This window comes from Homo sapiens, chromosome 6 (assembly GCF_000001405.40).
Source record: "Homo sapiens chromosome 6, GRCh38.p14 Primary Assembly".
NCBI classification, from domain to species: domain Eukaryota; kingdom Metazoa; phylum Chordata; class Mammalia; order Primates; family Hominidae; genus Homo; species Homo sapiens.
In genome coordinates, this window is record NC_000006.12 from 135,611,274 (window position 1) to 135,634,712 (window position 23,439).

At 37.7% G+C, this 23,439-nt stretch overlaps 2 long non-coding RNA genes and 1 pseudogene across 5 annotated transcripts in view; 1 reads left to right on the plus strand and 2 right to left on the minus strand.

The window, feature by feature from the left end:
* The window catches only part of AHI1-DT (AHI1 divergent transcript), a 218,255-nt gene that overhangs the window by 113,473 nt on the left and 81,343 nt on the right, over positions 1 to 23,439 (plus strand). The gene's annotated exons all lie outside the window — the stretch shown is intronic.
* GAPDHP73 (glyceraldehyde-3-phosphate dehydrogenase pseudogene 73) lies at positions 7,694 to 8,969 on the minus strand (annotated as a pseudogene).
* On the minus strand, positions 17,514 to 23,408 carry LINC02524 (long intergenic non-protein coding RNA 2524). The gene is made up of 3 exons (NR_183501.1): positions 23,215 to 23,408; positions 18,684 to 19,160; positions 17,514 to 17,783 (listed from the first exon to the last, which is right to left on the minus strand). It is a non-coding gene; the product is annotated as a long intergenic non-protein coding RNA 2524 (long non-coding RNA).

Consider the following 23,439-nt stretch of genomic DNA (forward strand, 5'->3'; position numbering starts at 1 on the left):
AACTGCAACTGCCCCCACTCCTCTACTCTCTAGTTCCAGGAGATTAATTTTTTTACATTCCACATATGAAGGAGATCATATATTTGTCTTTTTGTGCCTGGCTTATTTCACTTAACATAATGTCCTTTAGGTTCATCCATGTTGTTAAAAATGGCAGGATTTCCTTCTTTTTTTATGGCTGAATAGTGTTTCATTATGTTTCTATATGACAGTTTCTTTATCCATTCACTGATGGAGTCAGGTGGATTCCATTTTTTTGGCTATTAGGAATAATGCTGCAGTGAACATGAAAGTACAAATAACTCTGACATACTGATTTCATTTCCTTTGGATATATACATGATTATATCCACCAGTGGGATTGCTGGATTGTATGGTAGTTCTATTTGTAATTGTTTTGAGAAACTTCTATATTGTTTTCCATAATGGTTGTACTAATTTTTATTCCCACCAACAGTGTGCAAGGTGGGTCATTCACATCCTGGCCAACACTTATCTTTTGTCTTTTTGATAATAGACACTAATGGGATTTTCTCATACACATTTACCAAACTTCAGTTTGCTGCAGAACACAATTACCAGATATTTCAGTGGGGGCAAGGGTTGTTGTAATTACAATTTCACTTGCCTTTTGTGAATGTCCCTGTGATACCAAGGCATGGGAATGACATGTGTAGAGGCAGAACAATATCACTCCATAAAGATATCATCTCTCATTGTGATTTTAATTTGCATTTTCCTGATAATTAGTGATGTTGAGCATTTTTTTCACATACCAGTTGGATATTTGTATGTCTTATTTTAAGAGATGTTTATTTAGGTCCTTTGCCCATTTTTAAATTGGGTTTTTCGTTTTCTTGACTTAAGCCCCTTAAATATTTTGGCTATTAACCCTTTATCAGGTGTATAGTTTGCAAATATCTTCTCCCATTGCGTTGGTTGTTTCTTCACTCTGTTGATTGTTTACTTTATTGTGCAGAAGCTTTTTACTTTGATGTAATACTGCTTGTCTATTTTTGCTTTTGTTGCCTGTGCTTCGGGGGTCATATCCAAAAAATCATTGCCCAGACCAATGTAATAGAGCTTTTCCCCTATGTTTTCTTCCAGTAGTTTCATAGCTTCAGGTTTTACATTTAAGTCTCTACTCCAGTTTGAGTTGATTTTCGTATATGGTGTGAGAGAAGAGTCTATTTTCATTCTTTTGCATGTGGATATTCAGTTTTCCCAACACCATTTATTGAAGAGATTGTCCTTTCCTCACTGTGTGTTCTTGGCACTTTTGTTGAAAATGAGTTGGCTGGAAAAGCCTGGATTTATTTCTGGGCTCTCTATTCTGTTCCACTTGTTGTGTCTGTTTTTATGCCTGTACCATGCTATTTTGATTACTATAGATTTGTAGACTATTTTGAATTCAGGTAGTGAATACGTGCTAATTTTCAATTAGCAGAAAGCTCAAGCAAAACACCCTGAGTATAAATGAAGCAGCTCTTTATGTGGCCTTCACGAGGATTGGACTCTCATAGGGCTTGGTTTTTGTATAACTCTTAGTTTTAACTACATCCTAAGGTTCTAGAGAAAATTCTGGAGCTGAGACTTAGCTATGCATTTGTACAACTTCCTTGTCTGCCAATCTAAAAGTCAATCTTACTGATAATCCCTATTTTTCTTTTATTCTTATTTCCTCTTACCATTGTTTAGTAGCTAATATACTATGTATTTCACTTGCTTATGTGTTTATTGTCTGTCAACCCCATCATAGCTCCATGAGCATAGCACCACGGGGGCAGAAATTATCTACTTTGTTCATTGTCATAGTCACAGTGTCAAGAAAAGTGTCTGGCACATTGCATGTGTATAATAAATAATTTTGAATAACAGCCAGTCACCCTATTTTATATATCCTATTTTAGTATCTTGGCATGGGAGATAATTTCATGAGTATTTATATATTTGCAAACTTTGGAAGAAAAAAAGAAAAAACACTCTATAGAAGGCAAATTGAGAGGACTGAAAGTTTAGAAGTGACAAACAACCTAGAAATAGCTACACATTTTTAGTGATCAAAATCAATTTTTGTCATTAATCTGGATTTACTAACTTCTCAAAGTTATCATGGATGTAAAAGTGGCTTTAATCTGCTGATGCTCTGTGGTGTTCTACAAAATTGCTAAATTGCTTTTATGTGAAACTGGATAAGACATAACCCTTCTCCTACCTTTTATATTATTTTTTAGCCATGAGCCAAATTTTTCTAGCTAAGCCAATTTAAAAAATATTAGAAATGCAAATGTATTGCCATTGTTCTAAAATGTAGTTTTAAAATTCCATTTTTCAAGGTGGGATTTGTGATTATGTGTGAGGCGCTTCATTGTCTCTCAGCACTTCCCAACCAAAATCAGTCCATTTTGCCACTCCTGAGGAAAGGTCTGCTCTGTGTGACTCACAGTTACTTCCATGAATATTTATCCTGCCTGTACTGTTGGAATCACCTTGAGATCATGTACAATTAGTTAGGGTTGATAGAATTAGTAATGTTACTGGTTGTGTTACAGCATCTACGGGTCTCAGTGAAGTGGGACTCAGTCCCTTCTCCCCATTACTCTATTTTCTGTCCCTTCTTGATTCTGCTTGCCATTTTGGGGGTGCCAATTTATTTCCTTAGTAAAAACAACAGTAGTTATATATTAAGATACAACTGTATTATTTGCTTTTTTTCTTAAATCCACTATTATTTTTTGTCTTTTCATTGATTAAACTTCAGGCAAAACTCATTTGGCTGTGTTGAATAACATTTTGCAATTTTCTTTTCCCTGTGTCTTTCACACTTTGTAGCATTGTGCTCATGTATACTGTCTTTGTAAGTTCGAATCTATTAAGTGATGGTTCGTCATAAATCCTGTATAATACTTGATTTTCATCATTTATTTATATTTTGTCACCTGTACTCTCTTGTCCTGAGTACAAAGAATACACATTCATCTCTGTACCTTTTTTGTTTATTGATAGTTTATACTTTCTTTGGACAACTTTTAAATGTATATTTATTTATATTTGCTTATCCAATCTTATAAAGAACAATTTCACAAGTAGTTAGTCCCTGCTCATCTTCTTTTGATATTCCTAATATAGTCTTGTAATGGATTACTTGGGATATTTATTCCTCTGTATTTTAAAATCATGAATCTCAAACATCTCTATCCACCAAAGAATCTTTTGAACTAAAAAACGCACACAGACAGACCACATTTTTGAAGGATTCAATTTCAAAATAAAGTTAGTTCCTACTTAGCCTTGCAAAATGAGGTATCTTCTCTTGATAAAGTTGTGCAAATAATGAATTTCAATCATTGAATATTCTAAAAATGTGTTATCTTGCCTAAGTAATTGTTTCTATGCCTTTAGCTATTAAAAATATGAAAACATAATCCTTTATAAAAGCACATATTTTTACCTTCCATTTGAGTAATTTTTATTAGTCAAGGAATTTTGTATAGGTATATATTTGGTGAAACTTTTTAATAAAATTGTGTTTTTCTGGTTATAAAATGATGCAGTTTCATTAAAAACATTTATAAAGCAGAAAAATACATAGAATATAAAAATCATCCATATTTTCATAGCCAGCAAATCATTGTTATCTTAAAAGTACATGTCTATAAACAATAATTTTTAATGGAATTGGGATCATTTATAAGTTCATTTACTACTTGTCTCTTAACAATAATGTATAATCTAATGGTTAGTGGAAAATTCATCATATGATGTTTTCACTATTTAATAAATTCCTCATTCTTAGACATTTAGATTGTTTTCATATTTTTCACTGTTATATATAATGATGTGATGAACATTTTTGAAAATAAATAATCATAGGGTTTTCTCTTAACTGCCTTACATACTTCATTTGGAGTTAAATCACTGAGTAAAAAGATTCACATCTCCTCCCACACTCTGCCTTCTCTTATGTGATTTAGTACCTTTTGCTTGCCTTAATCTCTTTCTGCAAAGTAAGAAAGTGATCTGAAAAACTAATTTATATACAGTGTTGTTAACTTGTACGTGTTTTCCTGCCCCTTTCCCTTGCTCAGCTGTCCTAGACCAATTTTGGGAAGCAGACTCCACAGACAGAGGTTTATTTGCAGGAGATTTAGTGGGGAATGTTGTCAGCAACAATACAATTAAGGGAGTAAGGGAAGGGGGTTGAGCAGGAGAGGCTGAACTCGGGTGCAATAACAGGAAGGTCTCCAGCCATCCCAAGGGGAGCTCTGGAGCTCAGAAGGACCCTCAGAGTGTTCTTGAATTGAAATACATCTCTGAATCCAACTTCCTCCTGCCACTCCCATTGACCAGTCCTTAGTTTGGTATAGGGTGCCTTGGGCAAGGCAGTGGACATGCTCAGTAGCTGGGTAAGATGAGGACTTCATCCCAAAGTGGCCGTCTGGGCAGTGAACCACTGGGTGTTCAGCGTATCAGCCTCGTGGATTTTGTGTTATCAACCAATAAGGGGAGAGGGGGTGAAGTGTAAGTCAAAACAGATGATTCTCCACTAGGAAAATTTTAGTCTTTCTTGCCTGTTACCTAAATTGGAAAATGTACATGAGGAGGATCTTCCTCAGATCTTGTCGGCCTCTTTCTCATAATCCTGCTCTAGAACTCGAAATATCCTGCTCTACGACTCAAAACCAAACAAACATTGTTATTTGTTGGTGAAGGGGGCACCTAGAAGCATTTACTGACCGAGCAGTGACTTTAACATTATTTTATGTATCAATGTCACCAGTTTAGAGGATTTCACTATATTAACAAGTCCTACTGTGAAAATAACTATAGTATTACTGATTATATAACAAGGTGAAATACTATATTTTGACCATTAAACTATTTTTTTTTAACTTGGGTGACATTTAGCAATTTACCATTTCCAGCAATCTAAATGTTTATGTCACAGAAATCACATATTAAATTATCTGGAAATTTATTTCTCAGGAGGATCACCAAGGCATCAGAAAATAATAATAATTAATAACACAACTATAACAACTTGACGTTTTATAAGGACAAAGTATACAGGTTAATCACTAATATTGTAATTTTTTTAACAGCCATTGAACTAAATTTTGACAATTGAAAAGAATTTAATTATGAACTCCTGATGATTTGCCTCCCACCTCCAAATAGTCCACCCATCATTCTTTATGAAATATTTATTGTATAGGGGCTGGGTGTGGTGGTTCACGCCTGTAATCCCAGCACTTTGGGAGGCCAAGGCAGGAGGATCACTTGAGGTCAGGAGTTTGAGACTAGTATAAGCAACAGTGTGAGATCCTCTCTCTAAAATATATATATATAATTTATTGCATAGGAAGTATTTTGGGGGGATAGTTTAATTACTGTTGTACCTGGTTGTACTTGATGAATATTCACATTTTTTCTGCTCTCTAAAATGAAAATTTAGTATCATTTAACAACACTAAGAGACATCATGGAAGCACAATTCTTTATTGCCGTATTTTGGAATAGGGGTAAATAGGATGAGAGTTGTTTAAAATACATTTTACTCTGTCTCTCCCACTGAGTGAAACTATGCATCCTGGACAGAATACATAAAGCAGATATTTGAGGAATCTAAAAAATAAATAATAGCAGATGTAGTGGGAAGAAGACCAGAATTTGTTCATTTTTTCCTCTGGTATCTTCTGGCTTAGACTCAAGGCAGCCTGACACCTGAGAGAGCACCTTGTCATAGACACACAGCTGCAGACGCCATTTAGTTCAGACTCAAAGAGCATGAAAGTGACCTCTTGTTAGTGGCAGTGGTGGCAGTGAACGCTCTCAGAGGCTTTAAATTCTGAAGGAAGAGAACTTTGATTTGAGGAAATCTGGTCCCAAGATGGCAGAGCAAACTTTCATGCTGTTTTTCTATCTCCATCCTCCCATCACTTAGTGTGGATGCAGCGGCAGGAAGTAGGTGGCAGAGAAGGGGGTAAATAAAACCCCAGCTTTTTGGCTGCAGGACTGAAAAGAGGAGCTCCTAGGAACCAGTAAGTAGGAAAGAGATAGCACAGAGGGAGAAGCTTGGGAAAGGGGCCCAATGGAGTTGTTTACAAATTTCTGAGCTCTTTTTACGGCCACAGTCCTCTGGTGAGGACTGATAGTAGAATAGTATGCTTGTTTATGTCCTTATCTGGTTGGATGCAGCCTTTATTATTTATTTATTTATTCAGCAAAACATCTTGTCCTTGTTGGCAAGATGCTCTGTGAAATGTGATGGAGTCTTTTTCTAAGGCAGAGTGACTTATGTTCAAAGGCTCTCTTTACATATGGGCTCCTTACTTAGTTGCTCAGCATCTCAGGCTTGCCATCTAGAAAATGGATAGAATTCTCACTACCGTCAAGAAGTGTTATGAGGATTAAATGAATTAATGTACACTAAGCAACTGAACCTAACAAATGTTTCTTTCCCTGTGGCATTTGGTTTTTAGCTTTCCTATCCATTTCCTAAGTATCAGGCCCTTAGGTTTCATGTTTAGCACTCCTTTAATCTGTCAAGTTTACTAAGTTGTAGGATAATTTAGAAGCTTCCTAAGAATCACATGTTAAATAAAAAAAGAACAAAGGTCTTAAAGGAAGGAGTGCTAAGATAAAACCTATGGTAACCTGCTGCCCTTTTTCTTACTTCTGAAGAGTTGAGGTTGTCAGAAAACTAATATTTAGATATGGGCTTATCTGGTTCATAATATTCTAAACAACACTGCTACCATTACTATTATTACCAACTAAAACTATTTAGGATGTGTCAGGTATTGACATTCTACATATATTAATTTATTTAATTCTTACAATAACATGATAAGGTGGGTACCATTATTATTCTAATTTTACAGAATACATAACAAAAACATCACTTTATTGCCCTAGTCTTGTTATTCATATTATTAAAAAAACAACTATTGTGTACTGGTCTTAAATTAACTATAAAATTAGTTAATATTTGGTTATCTCTTTAGGATAAAAACTCTAGCTAAAATGAGCCTTAATATGGGCAATGCTTTTTTTCCTGCTCCATAAAACAGACCAACCCTCCTTGCAAGCTTAAGGCTAAAAACCCAGAATGTAATAACAACTGGAATGTTGGAGATGCATCAAGGTTTTTGCAATGTAAATTCCTTCCATTACCTTAGTTCAGGTCCTAAGCTTCTCTAGTTTAAATTATTACGATTGATTTCTTTTTATTTATTTATTTATTGGTTTTGAGACGGAGTCTCGCTGTCTCCCAGGCTGGCGTGCAGTGGCGCGATCTCAGCTCACTGCAACCTCTGCCTCCCAGGTTCAAGCGATTCTCCTGCCTCAGCCTCCTGAGTAGCTGGGACTACAGGCACCTGCCACCACACCCAGCTAATTTTTGTATTTTTAGTAGAGACGGGGTTTCACCATGTTGGCCAGGCTGGTCTTGAACTCCTGACCTCAGGTAATCCACCTGCCTTGGCCTGCTAAAGTGCTGAGATTACAGGCATGAGCTGTTGTGCCCAGCCTATTACAATTGATTTCTTACTGAGCATACCAATCTCTTCTTCATTGACTGCATACTCCACCCTCACTGCTTGAATTATTTTTATTATTTACATGCCTGGTTTAAAAAATAATGGCTGCTCAATAAAGTAGGACCTTTTTCTTTCTTTTTTTTTTTTTTGACTGAGCACAGGGGACTTTAGTAATAGGACGTGACAAGGTGGAGCTCCCTAGGCCCCTCCCTTTTCAGGTGGTCTGTGTGGAAATTGTGAAGAGGGGAGATCCTCAGTGTTGTGAGGTCTGAGTGCAGCAGGGACTCCCCAGCAGCTGGGGGCCTCTCTCTTCCTCTTATACTCTCGCTGGGGCTGGTGGTCCGGGGGCCTTATTCCTTGGAAGCCATGTGGGCCATGAGGTCCACCACCCTGTTGCTGTAGCCAAATTCATTGTCATACCAGGAAATGAGCTTGACAAAGTGGTCGTTGAGGGTAATGCCAGCCCCAGCATCAAAGGTGGAAGACTGTGTGTCACTGTTGAAGTCGGAGGAGACAATCTGGTGCTCAGTGTAGCCCAGGATGCCCTTGATAGGATCCTCTGAAGCCTGCTTCATCATCTTCTTGATGTCATAATATTTGGCAGGTTTTCCAGATGGCAGGTCGGGTCCACGACCAACACCTTGGCAGTGGGGACATGGGAGGCCATGCCAGTGAGCTTCTTGTTCAGCTCAGGGATGACCTTGACCATTGCCTTGGCAGTGCTAGTAGATGCAGGTATGATGTTCTGGAGAGCCCTGTGGCCATCAGGCCGCAGTTTCCTGCAAGGGCCATCCACAGTTTTCTGGGTGGTAGTGATGACATGGACTGTAATCATGAGTCTTTCAACAATACCAGAGTTGTCATGGATGACCTTGGCCAGGGGCGCTAAGCAGTTGGTGGTACAGGAGGCATTGCTGATGATCTTAAGGCTGTTGTCATACTTCTCATAATTCACTTTCATCATGAACATGATGGCTTCAGTAGAGGGGGCAAAGATCATGACCCTTTTGGCTCCCCTCTGCAAATGAGCCCCAACCTTCTCCATGGCGGTGAAGATGCTGGTGGACTCCACAACGTACTCAGTGCCAGCATCGCCCCATTTGATTTTGGTGGGATCTTACTCCTGGAAGATGGTAATGGGATTTCCATTGATGACAAGCTTCCCATTCTCAGCCTTGATGGTGCCATGGAACTTGCCATGGGTGGAATCATACTGGAGCATGTAGGCCAGGTAGTTGAGGTCAATGAAGGGGTCATTGATGGCAACAATATCCACTTTACCAGAGTTAAAAGCAGCCCTAGTGACCAGGCACCCAGTATAGCCAAATTCGTTGACTCTGGCCTTCACCTTCACCATTGTGTCTCAGGGATGTGGCAGGCGCTGTGCTGCACAAGAAAATGCGGCTGTCTCTAATGGGAGAAGGGAGCCAAAATAGGGCTTATTCTATGCTTCTAAGAACTGAATCCTGGCCTCACTTATTTCTCTAATGCTGTCTCCTCTGACTGAAAGTAACAAACAGAAAGCCCTTGTCCAGTCACACAAATACAGTCATCATTCATGCCTTTGCTGCAGAATGTATCTGTCACTCTTAATTAAGTTGTGATAATAATTTTATTGTTTACTATTTATTGAGGACTTACATTGTACCAGGGTTTGTTCTAAGCCCTTTATGTGGACCTATTTTATAGATAAAAAAGCTGAAGTTTAGAGAAATAGTTTGCCCAGCATCATACATTCTGTAAGTGGGGTTGCTGAGATTTGAACTCTCGGCATTCTAATACAAGCCTGAGTTTTTAGCCATGATACATATTGCTACCTGTTTATTTCTCACATTGAAGAATGGAAAGGATCACACTGACACTGCAAACCTAACATATACATCTTGTTTCCAGGAGGCAATAAGATAAATTGCATGGAAGGTCTGTTGGGAGGAATTTGGATGTTGTTACTGTCCCTTACCCTGAAGGTAATTATTAGGTCTTTTGAGCCCAGAGCTTGGTAACAGTTGCCAGTGTTGATAAGCCAAAGGTGGGGTATTTTCCTTTTTCCTCTGGTTAAAGATCAATTCACTTCTTTCATGTTTTCTTTTTAGCTGATGATAAAGGAGAAGAATAAAAGGATGACAGATGTGAATACTTAATCACGTTGCTTAATATTATGGAGTGACATAAAAATATGGTTTGCTTTATCTAGACAGATGTGGTTTTATAAAATAATCATGGTCTTTTTGTTTGCCATGTAGAATAATTATGCACAAAATGGGAGTGTACATTCTGGAAAGGTCATCTTGACTTTTAAAGGGTTTCTTTAGGCATTCATGATTGTCACTTTCTGATCAGTATGGGACAAGTTGGGATACATAAAACTCTATTCTGTGTTAAAGGAATATTTCAAAGATTCCATGTTTAATGAAATAAAGTATTGCCTAGAAATTAGAGACTTGTGATTACTTGCACTGATTCATTCTGAAGTTTTCTGAATGCTCTTTTAAAAATCTGTAGCTCTTAGTTTCTTATTTCTTTCAGATATCAAGAAATGCGGATTTCCAATGCACTTAGCTTATGCTCAATATTAAGTGAAATAATTAATTTAGCATGTCCATGATGATACTAAATTAGTAATTCAGGGTAGTTAAAATTGCAGTGGATGCTGAACTGATCCAAGAAACAGTTTCAACCTTGTGAACTGGTTTGGAATTAGTAGTCTATCATTAAATAGTAATTAAACATCAAAGGCTTGAAATGGCCCATTATGTGCAACAGAAAGTTTGTGTGTTAGAATAAGACACTTGAATTAATATATATTTCATAATTTTATATAGCAATTATGTGGTGATAAACAGTATAATTATTTTATTTTTTATGAGTTCATTGTCTACATTTTATATTTTACATAGTAGTTATGGAGAAATTGCCTACTCTGTGATGATAAACAGAAGACTTTTTATTATTTTTAAACTCACTTTCTAAAAATATAACACAAAATTGGTTTATTTTATTTTATTTATTTATTTTGAGACAAGGTCTCACTCTGTTGTCCAGGCTGAAATGCAATGGCTCAATCTTGGCTTGCTGCAACCTCCACCTCACAGGCTCAAGTGATCCTCCCACCTCAGCCTCCCAAGTAGCTAGGACTACAGATGCACCACTATACTCAGCTAATTAATTTTTTTTTTTTTTTTTTTGGAGAGACAAGGTCTCACTGTTTTGCCAAGGCTGGTCTCACACTCCCAGGCCCAAGCGATCCTCTCATCTCGGCCTCCCAAAGTGCTGGAATTACAGGCATGAGCCACCATGCCCGGCTAATTTTCTTTTAAATCCCTATACAGAATGTAATTTGAATATGGATTTTGTTTTTGTAACTCATATTTGAAAAATGTCTCCTTTAAAAAAATCATACAAATATTGAAAGTATTTGAGATTTTTTAACCTAAATCAGGAATTTGTTTTAACATCTGTTATCAGTCATCTGAAGCCACAACACTTGGTTTTTAGAGCCATTCCACTTTATGATGTGAACATGCATGATGCATGCAAGGAAGAGTAACATTTCATACTATGTGCAAAATTGTCAAACCTTGTATCTTTGGTATGTGGGAGATTGGGGAAGTGAAAAATGAGTCTGTTTTATTAGGGGCAGTGGTATATCATGGTGTATGGGTCATCATTGTGAATCACAGGGAAAGTGGCATAGCATTTGGGATTGATCCACATGCCACCAGTAAATCTTGGCCCAAATCAAATCGAAATAGCACAGGAATTAAGATAGTTAACATTTGGCAGGGCACGGTGGCTCACGCCTGTAATCCCAGCACTTTGGGAGGCTGAGGTGGGCAGATCACAAGGTCAGGAGATCGAGACCATCCTGGTTAACACGGTGAAACCCCCTCTCTACTAAAAAAAACATACAAAAAATTAGCTGGGCATGGTGGCATGCACCTGTAGTCCCAGCTACTTGGGAGGGTGAGGCAGAAGAATTGCTTGAACCTGGGATGGGGAGGTTGCAGTAATTCGAGATCGCGCCACTGGACTCCAGCCTGGGTGACAGAGCGAGACTCCATCTCAAAAAAAAAAAAAAAAAAAAAAAAAAGCTAACATTTATCAATGGTTAATTATGTACCTGGCACAGTTCTAAGTGTTTAAAGTGTATTAAATCATTAATCCTCACAAAAACCTTTTAAAATAAATACTGTTATTAATTAGATACCAGCAGGGGTGAGCATTGTATAGAGGAGCAAACAGGTATGGAGTGGTTGAGTAGCTTGCTACACAACTAGAAAGTGGCGGTGCTGAAATTGAACTCGGGCAGTTTGGCTACCCAGTCAGCACTCCTAACTATTTTATTAAATAAATATCTCCCTCGGGACTTTGATTGAGGTCTAAGTCATAGAAATGGTCTGTTTTCCTGAATTTTTCTTCGTTAAGATGAAAGTTCTAACTTCCTGCCAGTAAATGTCTAATTTATCTGGAATTTGTATCTTCAGGATATTTGAGTCTTAGAGTTTGTTTCATTGTCCCAGTGGTCAGTCTAATGTTGAGCTTAAGTCATTTATGAATTCAGCCCTTTTGTTTTTATGAAGATGTAGAAAATATTCTATGGCTTTCTTTTCCTTTTCTTTTTGTAGAGACGGAGTCTCGCTCTGTCGCCCAGGCTGGAGTGCAGTAGCGCGATCTCTGCTCACTGCAACCTCCGCTTCCGGGTTTCAAGCAATTCTCCTGCCTCAGCCTCCCCAGTAGCTGGGACTACAGGCACTTGCCGCCACACCCAGCTAAAGAAAATATTCTATGGCTTTCCTGTGGGTTGCTCCTAAGCTTCCTCCAAGATATTTCTTCTTTCTCCTCTTTCCAGAAGCACAGTCACCCATCTAGCTTGGGCTCTCTTTAGCCTCCTCTGTAGTAATCCTAACTCTAGTCTCCTTACAATTTATTTTCTAGATTAACTTAAGCAATGTTCTGATCACAAACTTTACTATTGTCTCTCCATTTATCATTATATACAATCCAAGTCCCTTAATGTGATAGCCCAATGTCTTGTTGCTCTGGATCTACCTTTCTTTTCTTATCTTAAAATTCTTAATCATCATGGAAGCTAACATTTATTGAGCACTTACTATATAACAAGCACTGTGCTTACTTCCAAACATACAAAGATGAAGAATAGAACCTACTTTCTCCCTTTGTGATTATCACAGGGATTATCTCACTTAATCTTTGTGGAAACCATATGAGCTATGTAATATTATTAACTCCATTTTAATGAAGAGGAGACAAAGTCTTGAAGAGTTTATGTAACTTATTCAAGGTCACAAGAGAACCATGTGGTAGATCTGGGATTCACACCCTCACTTTTAAGCCCTATACAATACTCCCCATGTCATAAATTTTCTAACTCTAACCCATCTTTAGACGTATGGGGCTACTCACCACTCCCTTTATATCCCTCACTTTTTTCTCTTCATTATCATGTTTTATGTCATTTTATTCTCCTTGTATGTAGGTCTCAATTTTTTTCCTTATTTCTGCCTATTGAGTAACAACTGCCTTCAACCTGTGGATATAATTGACCTCTCCCACCACAGAACCAAAGCTTCATTTATTTTCTTAACTCCCATAGTGCTATAACCTTGTATGCTGCTTATACAGACTATATGATGAGCTTTATCGAGTGCTAAAATTTTTTTTAAGAGTAAACGCTTCTAATTATGTGTCATAAGTAAGTTCTCAGAGAAGCTGATTCAGACTTTCCACCAAAGGGTTGTGTTGGTACAGAAAACATAAACATCAACCACATTTTAGCACAATTTTCATCATTCTCTTGTGGTTTGACTTTTCTGATGATGTCTAAACTTAGACATAAAAGGAAACCCCGCCTTATATGGATGACATGGAATGGAAAAGAAGCTCCATGGCTTTCCTGTTTCACTGGTGGGTTTGACCTTTTCCACACGTGCATTTGCTTTGAACTCCTCCTAAGTTAGGTGCTACGTGAATACAAGTTATAATTAACATGCTTTCTTTGGGTCTCCTTGAACAAAATGTTCTCTCTCATGATATGCTATGCATATTTACTTTGAATGAATAATAGTTTTGAATTTGGATTTAGAAAGCAGATAATGTGACTGAAATCCATGTTTCTTCTTTGCCTTTAATCTAGGGCTGCAGGATGGGGCCCAAATGTGAAGGGAATAAAACATGAGAGAACCTTGTTTAGCCACGAGATAACCAGGGATAAGAGTTTAGCTTATAGGCTCTAATCAAACGTGTTATTTTTCATTGAAAACTGGCGTATGGTATCACTATGCAGCTGTTAACCAGCTGTTTCCTTTCTACTGGGGTTCTTGTGTGCTCTCTGCTTTAAATTTATGTGTTGCTTGGGATCCCGAAGGATAAAATAGTACTTGTAGGTTCAAGGTAGTGGTTGGAATGGTTGTTTGCATGTTTTTAGATTTTTTAGTTTAAAGCAACATGTTTAAAATGTTTTCTTCTAATTGCTATTGTGAATATGCAAATGTTTATTTAATCATGCTCAAGTGAGAGAAGATATAGAAACAATTCATAGGCTAATTCAAACCATGTTTTTCCCTCTCTTGTTTGCCCTACACTAATCTGCCAAGCCTGTATGATTGTCTCAGTTCTCCATTTAGCACCGAAGTTAGTTTTGAACCCTGAAAAAAGAGACATTTATATACTTAATTATTTACATATAATAATAAATATCGTGGTCATGTAATGGCTACTTCAGTCATTTTATTTCCGGAATTGGTTCCTTCCAGTGGGTTCTTGGTCTCGCTGACTTCAAGAATGAAGCCATGGACCCTCGCAGTGAGTGTTACAGTTCTTAAAGATGGTGTGTCCGGAGTTCGTTCCTTCAGATGTTCAGATGTGTCCAGAGTTTCTTCCTTCTGGTGGGTTTGTGGTCTTGCTGACTTCAGGAGTGAAGCCACAGACCTTTGCAGTGAGTGTTACAGCTCTTAAAGGTGGCGCATCCAGACTTGTTCATTCCTCCGGGTGGGTCGTGATCTTGCTGACTTCAGGAGTGAAGCCACAGACCTTTGCAGTGAGTGTTACAGCTCTTAAAGATGGCATGTCCAGGGTTGTTTGTCCCTCCCAGTGGGTTCGTGATCTCGCTGGCTTCAAGAGTGAAGCTGCAGACCTTCGCAGTGAATGTTACAGCTCATAAAGGTAGTGCAGACCCAAAGAGTGAACAGCAGCATGATTTATTGCAAAGAGTGAAAGAACAAAGCTTCCACAGCGTGGAAGGGGACCCCAGCGGGTTGCCAGGGCTGGCTCAGGTGGCCAGCTTTTAGTCCCTTATTTGGCCCTGCCCACGTCCTGCTGATTCGTCCATTTTACAGAGCGCTGATTGGTCTGTTTTTACAGAGTGCTGATTGGTGCGTTTACAAACCTTTAGCTAGACACAGAGAGCTGATTGGTGCATTTTTACAGAGTGCTGATTGGTTCATTTACAATCCTTTAGCTAGACACAGAGTGCTGATTGGTGCGTTTACAATCCTTTTGCTAGGCAGAAAAGTTCTCCAAGTCTCCAGCTGACCCAGAAGCCCAGGCAGCTTCACCTCTCAATTTCATGCCTTCACTGGCCCGATGACAGAGTTTCACCAACAGAAGAAAATCTTTCGGTTTGTCACAGTGTGTATGGTCTGTGGTCAGATATGTCAAAGAATGGTAAACAAAGGCCTGTAGACAGTATATCAGTGCTATGGTTTGAATGTGTCCTCCAAAGTTCATGTGTTGGAATCTTAATTCTCAATGCCATAGGTTTGAGAGGTGGGACTTTTAAGAAATGGTTAGGTTATAAGACCACATCTGGTCTCATGAATGGATTAATGCCATTAGTGCAGCAGTGAATTAGTTGTCACAGGAGTGAGTTCCTGATACATGGATAAATTTGGTCCCCTTCTTCCCCCTCTGTCATGCTCTTTTGCCTTCCTGTCTTCTGCCATGGGATTACACAGCAAGAGGGTCCTCACAAGATACAGCCCCTTGATTTTGGACTTCCCAGCCTGAGCCAAATACATTCATGAGCCAAATACATTTCTTTTTTTATAAATTACACAGTCTTAGGTATTTTGTTAGAGCAGCATACAACAGACTAAGACAATTGGAATTCCTACTAAGGATTCACATGGTATGGAGTTTAAACATAATGGAATATGTTTGTGTTATCCTTTTTATTATTGGAAGGTTGAGATTTTATTATTACAAGGTTGAGATTAGGAAAATAATACCTAACAATTATAACACTTACTACACACTAAGTTTTCTACATGTATTAATTTATTTAACCTTCTTGATAAGTACTGTTAACATCTTTGTTTTATAGGTAAACTGAGACAAAACATGTTAAGAAAAGTGTACATGGTTACACAACTTGTAATAATCAGAGAAGGATTTAGATGTTGGTAGGTTAGCTCTTTACTCTGTACTAGACTGCCTTGAGTTGTTGCAAGGAGTTAATAATTAATCAGATTACTAATTTCAGAAGTAGTCCAGTGGCATGTGCCTCTATAATTCCTGTGTTTGGTATGTTTGATTAACTTCCCCTAAACTTTTAGAACTCTTTTTCATGATTGCTGGGGAGCACCAGTGTGGGGGCAGCAAAGCTTCTATCTAGAAGATCAGTTAAGTCAAGATAAGGAATTCACAGTAGGTGTATTAGGATATATCAGGGTGTACTAGTCAATGTCAACCAAATGCAGAGTGAGTTGAGCTGGGATTACTATATCATGCTCCAACAATTCAAAGTTTTCATGGGGATCTCTCTTTTCTGAAACCAAGTCTAAAACTCTCATACCTCTCATGTGAATTTATGTTAAATTTCAGAGCATTCAAAGATTTTCTCACCCTAATGTTCCCTTGAATTAACTAGATCAAACTGCTGAGCTCATAGGAGGGGCTTCTGAAATATGTTTGCTTGTTTGCTTTTGCTTTTGGATAGATGGATAAGTGGATAATTGAGAGAAAGAAAAATAAAGTTCATATTAATAAAATTGTAACTTGCCATATTTCATTTTGTTACCAGGAAGTAATGACAGTCTTTAAATGACTTAGTCTTCCTCCAAGGCATTGTCTCCTGCTAAGCCTCAATAGGCAGGTAGGGAAGAGAAGCTATTGAGAGAGGGAGTGCTCTATAGATAGTTTTCTTTTTTCTTCCTGACCACAGTTAGCACAGAATATGGAATCATTTAATCTCCATGTTATCTTTGGTGGGGGCCAGGAATATAAGGAGGAACAGAAGCTAAAATAACACCACCACCACCAACACAGAGAAGCTAAAATGAAATTACTGAGTTAATGACTGAGTCCTCTATAACAGCAACTTAATATATTGGCTGTGTAGGCCATGTTATTAAATTGTGGTTCCAGTGAGTATCTTAGAGCAAATAACTATAGCAAAAGTACTATTAAATTCTTAGCAAACCAATAAATCCATACCTGCCAGTTAAGGGCAAAAGATATCTAATTTACACATTTAAGATGTATACATGCTACATTTGGTTTCAGAGCATTGGTTTCCTTGGATTTAAAGTGCATTTGTACATTAACTAGAAAAAATTGGTAGACTTTAACAATAAGGTGAAATACTCAAACCTGGGAAGAAATCAGTAGGCTTTAACTATAAGTTTAAAGAGCCAAAACAAGCCACCAAATGAAAAAGTGAAAGCTCATGTGTGCTTTACACATAGCAGACGTGCTAGAAATAATTGAGTAAATGTAGATGGACATGAATAGGTGGAGAAAAACCTATGAATTAATGGCACCAAAATCTCAGGTTCTACTTGGGGAACGAGGCTCTGCCGTCTGGGGAGGTAAAGTGAGCTAGTAAAATGACATGATCAACCATTGCTAGGATAAGCTGTTTAGTCAGAACACTAGCTAAGGTCTCAGCTAAGGAGAATGAGTAAGTGGTAATCATATTTGAGTAAGTGGTAATCATATTTAAAGACTCAGAGATCAACAGAAGCAAACTCCTTTATTATTTATTTGTTATTATTATTGGGGATCTCACTCTGTCACCCCGGCTGGAGTGCAGTGGAATGAGTATAGCTTACTGCAGTCTTGAACCCCTGGGCTCAAATGATCTTCCCACTTCAGCCTCTCGAGTAGGGTGTAAACCATCATGTCCAGTGCAAAGTCCTTTATAAGGTGGCATACTTGCCTTGGGTAAAGACAAAGATGACCAGTGTTGGTGAGCAGTGTTATCCAGTAGATCCAGATGTTTTGCTGTCAAGATCAAGAAAGTAGGTAAGGCAAAAGAACGGGCCCAGTCAGAGCAGAACACAGGGGCTGCCCTTGGGAGAAAAGTGGGACTAAACAGCATTTGGGATCAGAAAATCATTTTAATATGATGATTCAGGGTATTTTACTAGCCCACTTTCGAATTCTCTTCACCTAATCATTATAAAGACTCCTATGGCTGGTGATTCAGAGAGCTCACAAAGTCTAAATTGCATGTACAAAAGGATAAATGTAAAATTTTGCACTTAGCTTAAGAAACAAGTGGATGATGGGTAGGGAGAACAAGCTCAGTCACACTTTGCAGGAAAACAAAACAAAACAAAACATTGCATTAGGAATTTTAAAATTTAATCTTAACTGCCACAAGTCAACTGTGTGACTTTTGGCACAAGATCTTTTAAAACCTTAATTTCCTTATCTGAGAAAGAGGATGTTGGAAGAAGATCGTCTCTGAGGTTCTTCCTGGATTTAATTTTGTAGTTCTATGGCGTCGAGTTTTCTTTTAAGTACCAATTCATATGAAGCAATGTTGTGACATGTGATGCCAAAAATCTAATTCATTAGGAGAAATACAGAGACTAGATTATCCTACTGTATTCAGTGTAGTCGCTTCATTTGGCTGGACAATCAAGTTATGGTTGCCATATATTTTGAAGGATATTAAAAAAATTATAGGAGATCTAGAGGAAGTTGACTGAGGTGTTTATTATTGTAGAAACAATTGTATAGAAGAAAACATGAGATGAACTAGGGTTCATTAGCCCAGGCCAGAGAAGAAGGGGGCACTCAGTAACTTTCTTCCAGTATCCCCTCTCATAGCTCTAGATGGAAGGCTGTAGGAAGATTTTCCCTAAAGGCTACATAAAAAGAAATAAAAAGACAAACCTTCAAATAATTGCAGTGTTCCAGTAGTAAACTGGATTGCTTTGTGATGAAACGATTTCCCTCACAAGGATGATGTTCAGGCAAAAGTTGAAAGACCATCTCTGCAGGGAAAGCTGGATTTGATGATCTTGAGGGTCCCAGGCACTCACAGGTGCTTCCATCTTATGATTTGCTCAGTCTTGACATTAGTTTTGAAATTACAATAAAAACAAATTTATGTGCTAATATCAGAAGTGATAAATTTTTATGGCAAACTATTTTCTGATTAATCAGAAATAAAATATTATAATTGTCAAAACTCAGACAATTTCATTTAGTTCTATATAAAGAACTATTGAAAACAGCAACATGATCTGGAGGTTTTTACAGTTCCTCTTGCTCCTTGGCGTCTTTATCCTTCAAGAGCATTTCTCTGAGTGTATTTCTTTCACATCTAATTCTGTCTTGGTGCCTGCTTCTTGGAGAATCTGAGTTGACCTAGTAATAAACACACAATAAATATTAGCAATTTTCTCTTACTCTTTCCTCTGTGACTCAAAAGCAATTTGTTTTCTTCCTGTGAATAGTTTGTTTACTGTTGGTGGATATAGAATTAAAGTGAGTTAGAATTTTATGTTGTTTTTCCTAACGGAACCATGGAAACGTTCTTGCTGTTTGATAGTTACAAAATGCCTCCTGATTTTAGGCGGATAGTAACAATTTAGAATTGAATTGTAAACAGCATTTGGGACCAGAAAATCATTTTAATATGATGATTCAGGGTATTTTACTAGTAAAAATACTTAATATCACTTAGTATTTAGACTTCACATCTAACTGGACTAGATGACTATTTATGTGTAGACAGGACTTAGAGGCGGAACAGCAGGAGGAAATGTAGAAAGTCAAACACCTGGCTAGGGAAAAGTCCTTACGCTGTCTGGATTTGGTGTCAGCCTCCGCTCTGTCTCCACCACTAGCATTTCCAGCCAATGCATCCCTGATTACTCAAAGCCAAGCATTTCCTGCAGAGTAGCAGGAGGGATAGGAAACAGCATGTGCTTCCTGGTCTGGGAGGTGGCACAGGACTGCGGGGCAGCCAGTAATAGCAAACACCTAAAGCGGGAAAGGATTTGGTGACCCTGTGAACAGAACTTTGCTTTTCAGCAGAATGACACAATCATCTGTAGCATTTTAGTCTGGATTTAAGTCATAACTACTGAGAACACACTCACTGTAGAATCTTTGCTTTTGGGGCACCAGTGTAATAAGGTAGACAGGACTGATACTGACTTACTCAGGGGAGAGAAACAAAGATACACCCAGCTCTTCCGGAGCATGGGGTGCCCTTGGTGGAAATAAGCAAACATTATTTTTTTGCCCTGGGGTCAGTTAAGGTCATTCAGGAATCACTTCATTGAGAAGGACAGTCTTGAAGAGAGTCCAAGAGAAAAAGCATAAAGTTATGCTTTGAGTGGAGGGAAGGGTATAATCATTCCAGTTAAAGGGAATTGCTGTCGATCACAGCTCTGAAGCAGAGAGAATGATTTGTTAACCAGGGCCGTGAACTTAGGTTTACCTTTGAAGTTCTTAAACACTGTATAAAGCTGCATATTTTAAGAAGTAGAGTGAGCCTTAAATATTTAAATTATTTAAATGTGTATCTCTCTTGTAGGGCATGGGAAGAGGACCATAGTTTCTGTGGCCTCCCTAAGATGGCCTGCCACCTCTCCTGATGCTGGTGACTTCTTGTGATGGTGGGGCAATATTAAGTGTTTGAAAAAGGAAGAAGTTCTTATTCCCAAGTGAGAGACCATATAAACATAGAAATTAAAGACAAGGGATTTGGATGAGGTGTGGATATGAATTACAGTTTTATTTCTTGCTAGTCATGTCACCCTGGGAGAGTTACTTCATCTTTCTGAGCTTCAGTTTCCTTATGTAAAGGAATGGTGACAATATTAGCTCCTATCACAAAGGATTTTTGTGAGAATTCAGTGAGATGTGCCATGTACAATGTTTAGCACACAGTGCCAGAAATATTTTATGGGAGCACAGATTCAAAAATGACTAATTAGAGCAGTTACTGAGGCGTCTCAGTGCAACAGCTGTGTTTATTATTGAATTGCCTGCAAAAATGGGCACACATGGCTTTTTAAAATTTTTTATTAAAAGTTAGTAATTTATGATGGCTTTATTAAAATACATGACTAGTGTAACTGGCTTTTATCACATAGAACAGTTTATGTTTTCATTAGTGAGACGAAAAGAAAAAGATTTCCTGCATCCTGAATTAGAGCTATCATCTGTTAAAAATATTTATGACTAAGAAACAAAAGATACTTGTTTTTACAAGATAGGAGCTCAATATATAATTACAAAATGAATAGATTCACCTATTTATTAAATACATATTTGTTTTAAATAATGATAAGTGCTAATGGGGGATATGATAGGGATTGGGCTGTGTGTGTTTGTAGATATTGTAGTGTTCTGAAATTTAGATTGGGCACTAGTCTTAATGTCTAAATTCCAAAATTACTTGAAAATTGCAACTTCTATTAAGTGTGCTCAACCTAAAAGTTTCCAGAAGGTTTACGATAACATTCAAGTTTAAATTCAACATAATTGCGAAAAGTTGTATTTTGTTTATTTTCAGAGTTTATGAACTTTTTCTGATGTTTTCCTAATATATGAAAATGAAATTGGGAAAAAAAGTTAGTTTCAGTAATTGGACCTACATCCTTCAGCGTGGATTTGTTTCCCCGTTTGGCTAATGTTTCATTGACCTCTACAAGGCTGGCATTTCTAGAATACCAACCGAGTAAATTTTAGACTCTCCACAGTTGATTTTTGTTGAAGCTATCAGAAACCATCAAGAACTCATTTGATAATTATAAGTTTTTGTGTTTGTATAGTAGTTAATTTGCAATCATGTGCTGTTTTGTTGAATGTTTGAAGTTGGCTTGCTATTGATGTCCTTTTCTAGGATGCATTTTCCACATAGAAAAGAATACATGCCTGAGTTCTCAGGTTTATTTGTTCATTTAAAAATAATTTATCAAGTGCCTATCATGTGCTACATGGTTCTAGTATTAAATTGAACCCCATGCCACTGTGGGTATTCTATCCTTTTTAACTCAAAAGTCAGAAATTTGATATAGTTCAACTTATTCAAAAACAAGTCCCCTTTAAAGAGCTTTCAATCTAATATAAGGTTTTAGGTGTATAAAAAAAGAATGCCTCTAAAAGTTTTTATACTTCATTAAAAATTTTGTGGCCATGGAATTCTAAAATTCTGTAGATCAGAAATATTTCTATATAATGAAATATACAATGAAAATATTTCAGTATAATGAAGTTATTTCCCTGATGCAAGGTCTCATTTAGAAGAGTTTGTTTTCTGCATGAAGCATCCAAAGTAATAAATGATTTCTTCATCCTTGCGCCGTGCCGTATCATCAAGAATTACTTATTTGTCCATTTTGTTGTGATTTTTAAAGCTAATTTAGAATCAAAACTGAAGTGAGAAGTTGAACAGTAGCCCAGTTTTGTTCCTGCTTGGAAGAAGTAATTAATCTTTAACTTCCCGTATTTCTACCTACTCTCTTTCAAAAGCACAAATAATTTTCCTTACCAGAAACCTCCTAAATTTCATAGCATTCACAGTATACACTGACATGATGTAGGAGAGGTGACATGTTATGTGCTTGAATTCAGAGTTTTTTCCCCCGTTCTTTTTGATTTAATGCCTGAAAAGAGTAGTGGCATATGGACTCTGTTCTTATTCAAAGCCCAATTATGGTATGATTCCTGGCAAAAACGTTCACCATTATACAAGTCCACAAAGGGCTTTGAATTATTGACCCTACTCAGTAAACAAGAGAGCTCCTTGTTGTTGGTCCCACTGGGGATGGGGGAGCACAGGCAAGGTAGTGGAAGGCATAAAAAAGGAAAGCAAGGAGAGATGAATATGCAAAATGCTGTTATTTTAAACCCTCTTGTTTTAGTTTACATTCAAGGAATTGTATGTAATGGAGAGGGCACAGAATTAAAAACTAAAATGATGGGATTCCAAGCAGGCTAAACTTAAAGTACCTTCCTAACGACAAGCCTACCTGCCTCTGTACCCATTGTTTCCCCCTCCCATTTTGGTTGGAGGTGACACTCCTTGCCATTGGGCCAATCCTCTTACCAACATCAGAAGCCCACTTCTTTCTTATCATGTTTTTATCATCCTCCTTCTCTTCTATATCTTCTCCTTCTCTCTTTCTACTGGATTTTCCTCATCAGCATTTAAACATATGGAAGTCTTTTAATTTATAAACATCTCTTTATCCTATTTTCCCCTCCTGTTACCACCCTAATCCTTTCCATCTTTACCTGTGCATAAGAAGTAGCACAGCAAGGCAACACTTGTCTTTACTCAACAGCTCCATTTCCTTAGCTCTCATTCATTAATTAATCTTCCTCTGAAAGGGCTAAACCAAAGTTATCAATCATCTCCCTGAAGCTAAGTTCGACAAACATTAATAAGTTTCTTATCACTTACCCTCTTATCAAAGCACAACAAAGCTGACCATGCCACTCCAGTAGATCCTCCACTGACTTGGTTTCCATGATACTAGATCCGTTTGGATTGTCTACTGCCTCTTCAGTTGCTCCTTCTCCTTCTTCATTTACCAGCCAGTGCTCCTCATCTGATCTGAAACGCTGGACTTCTTCAAGCTTCAATCTTCGGCTCTCTTTTCTTCTCCTTAGACCAAGATTTCTCAAT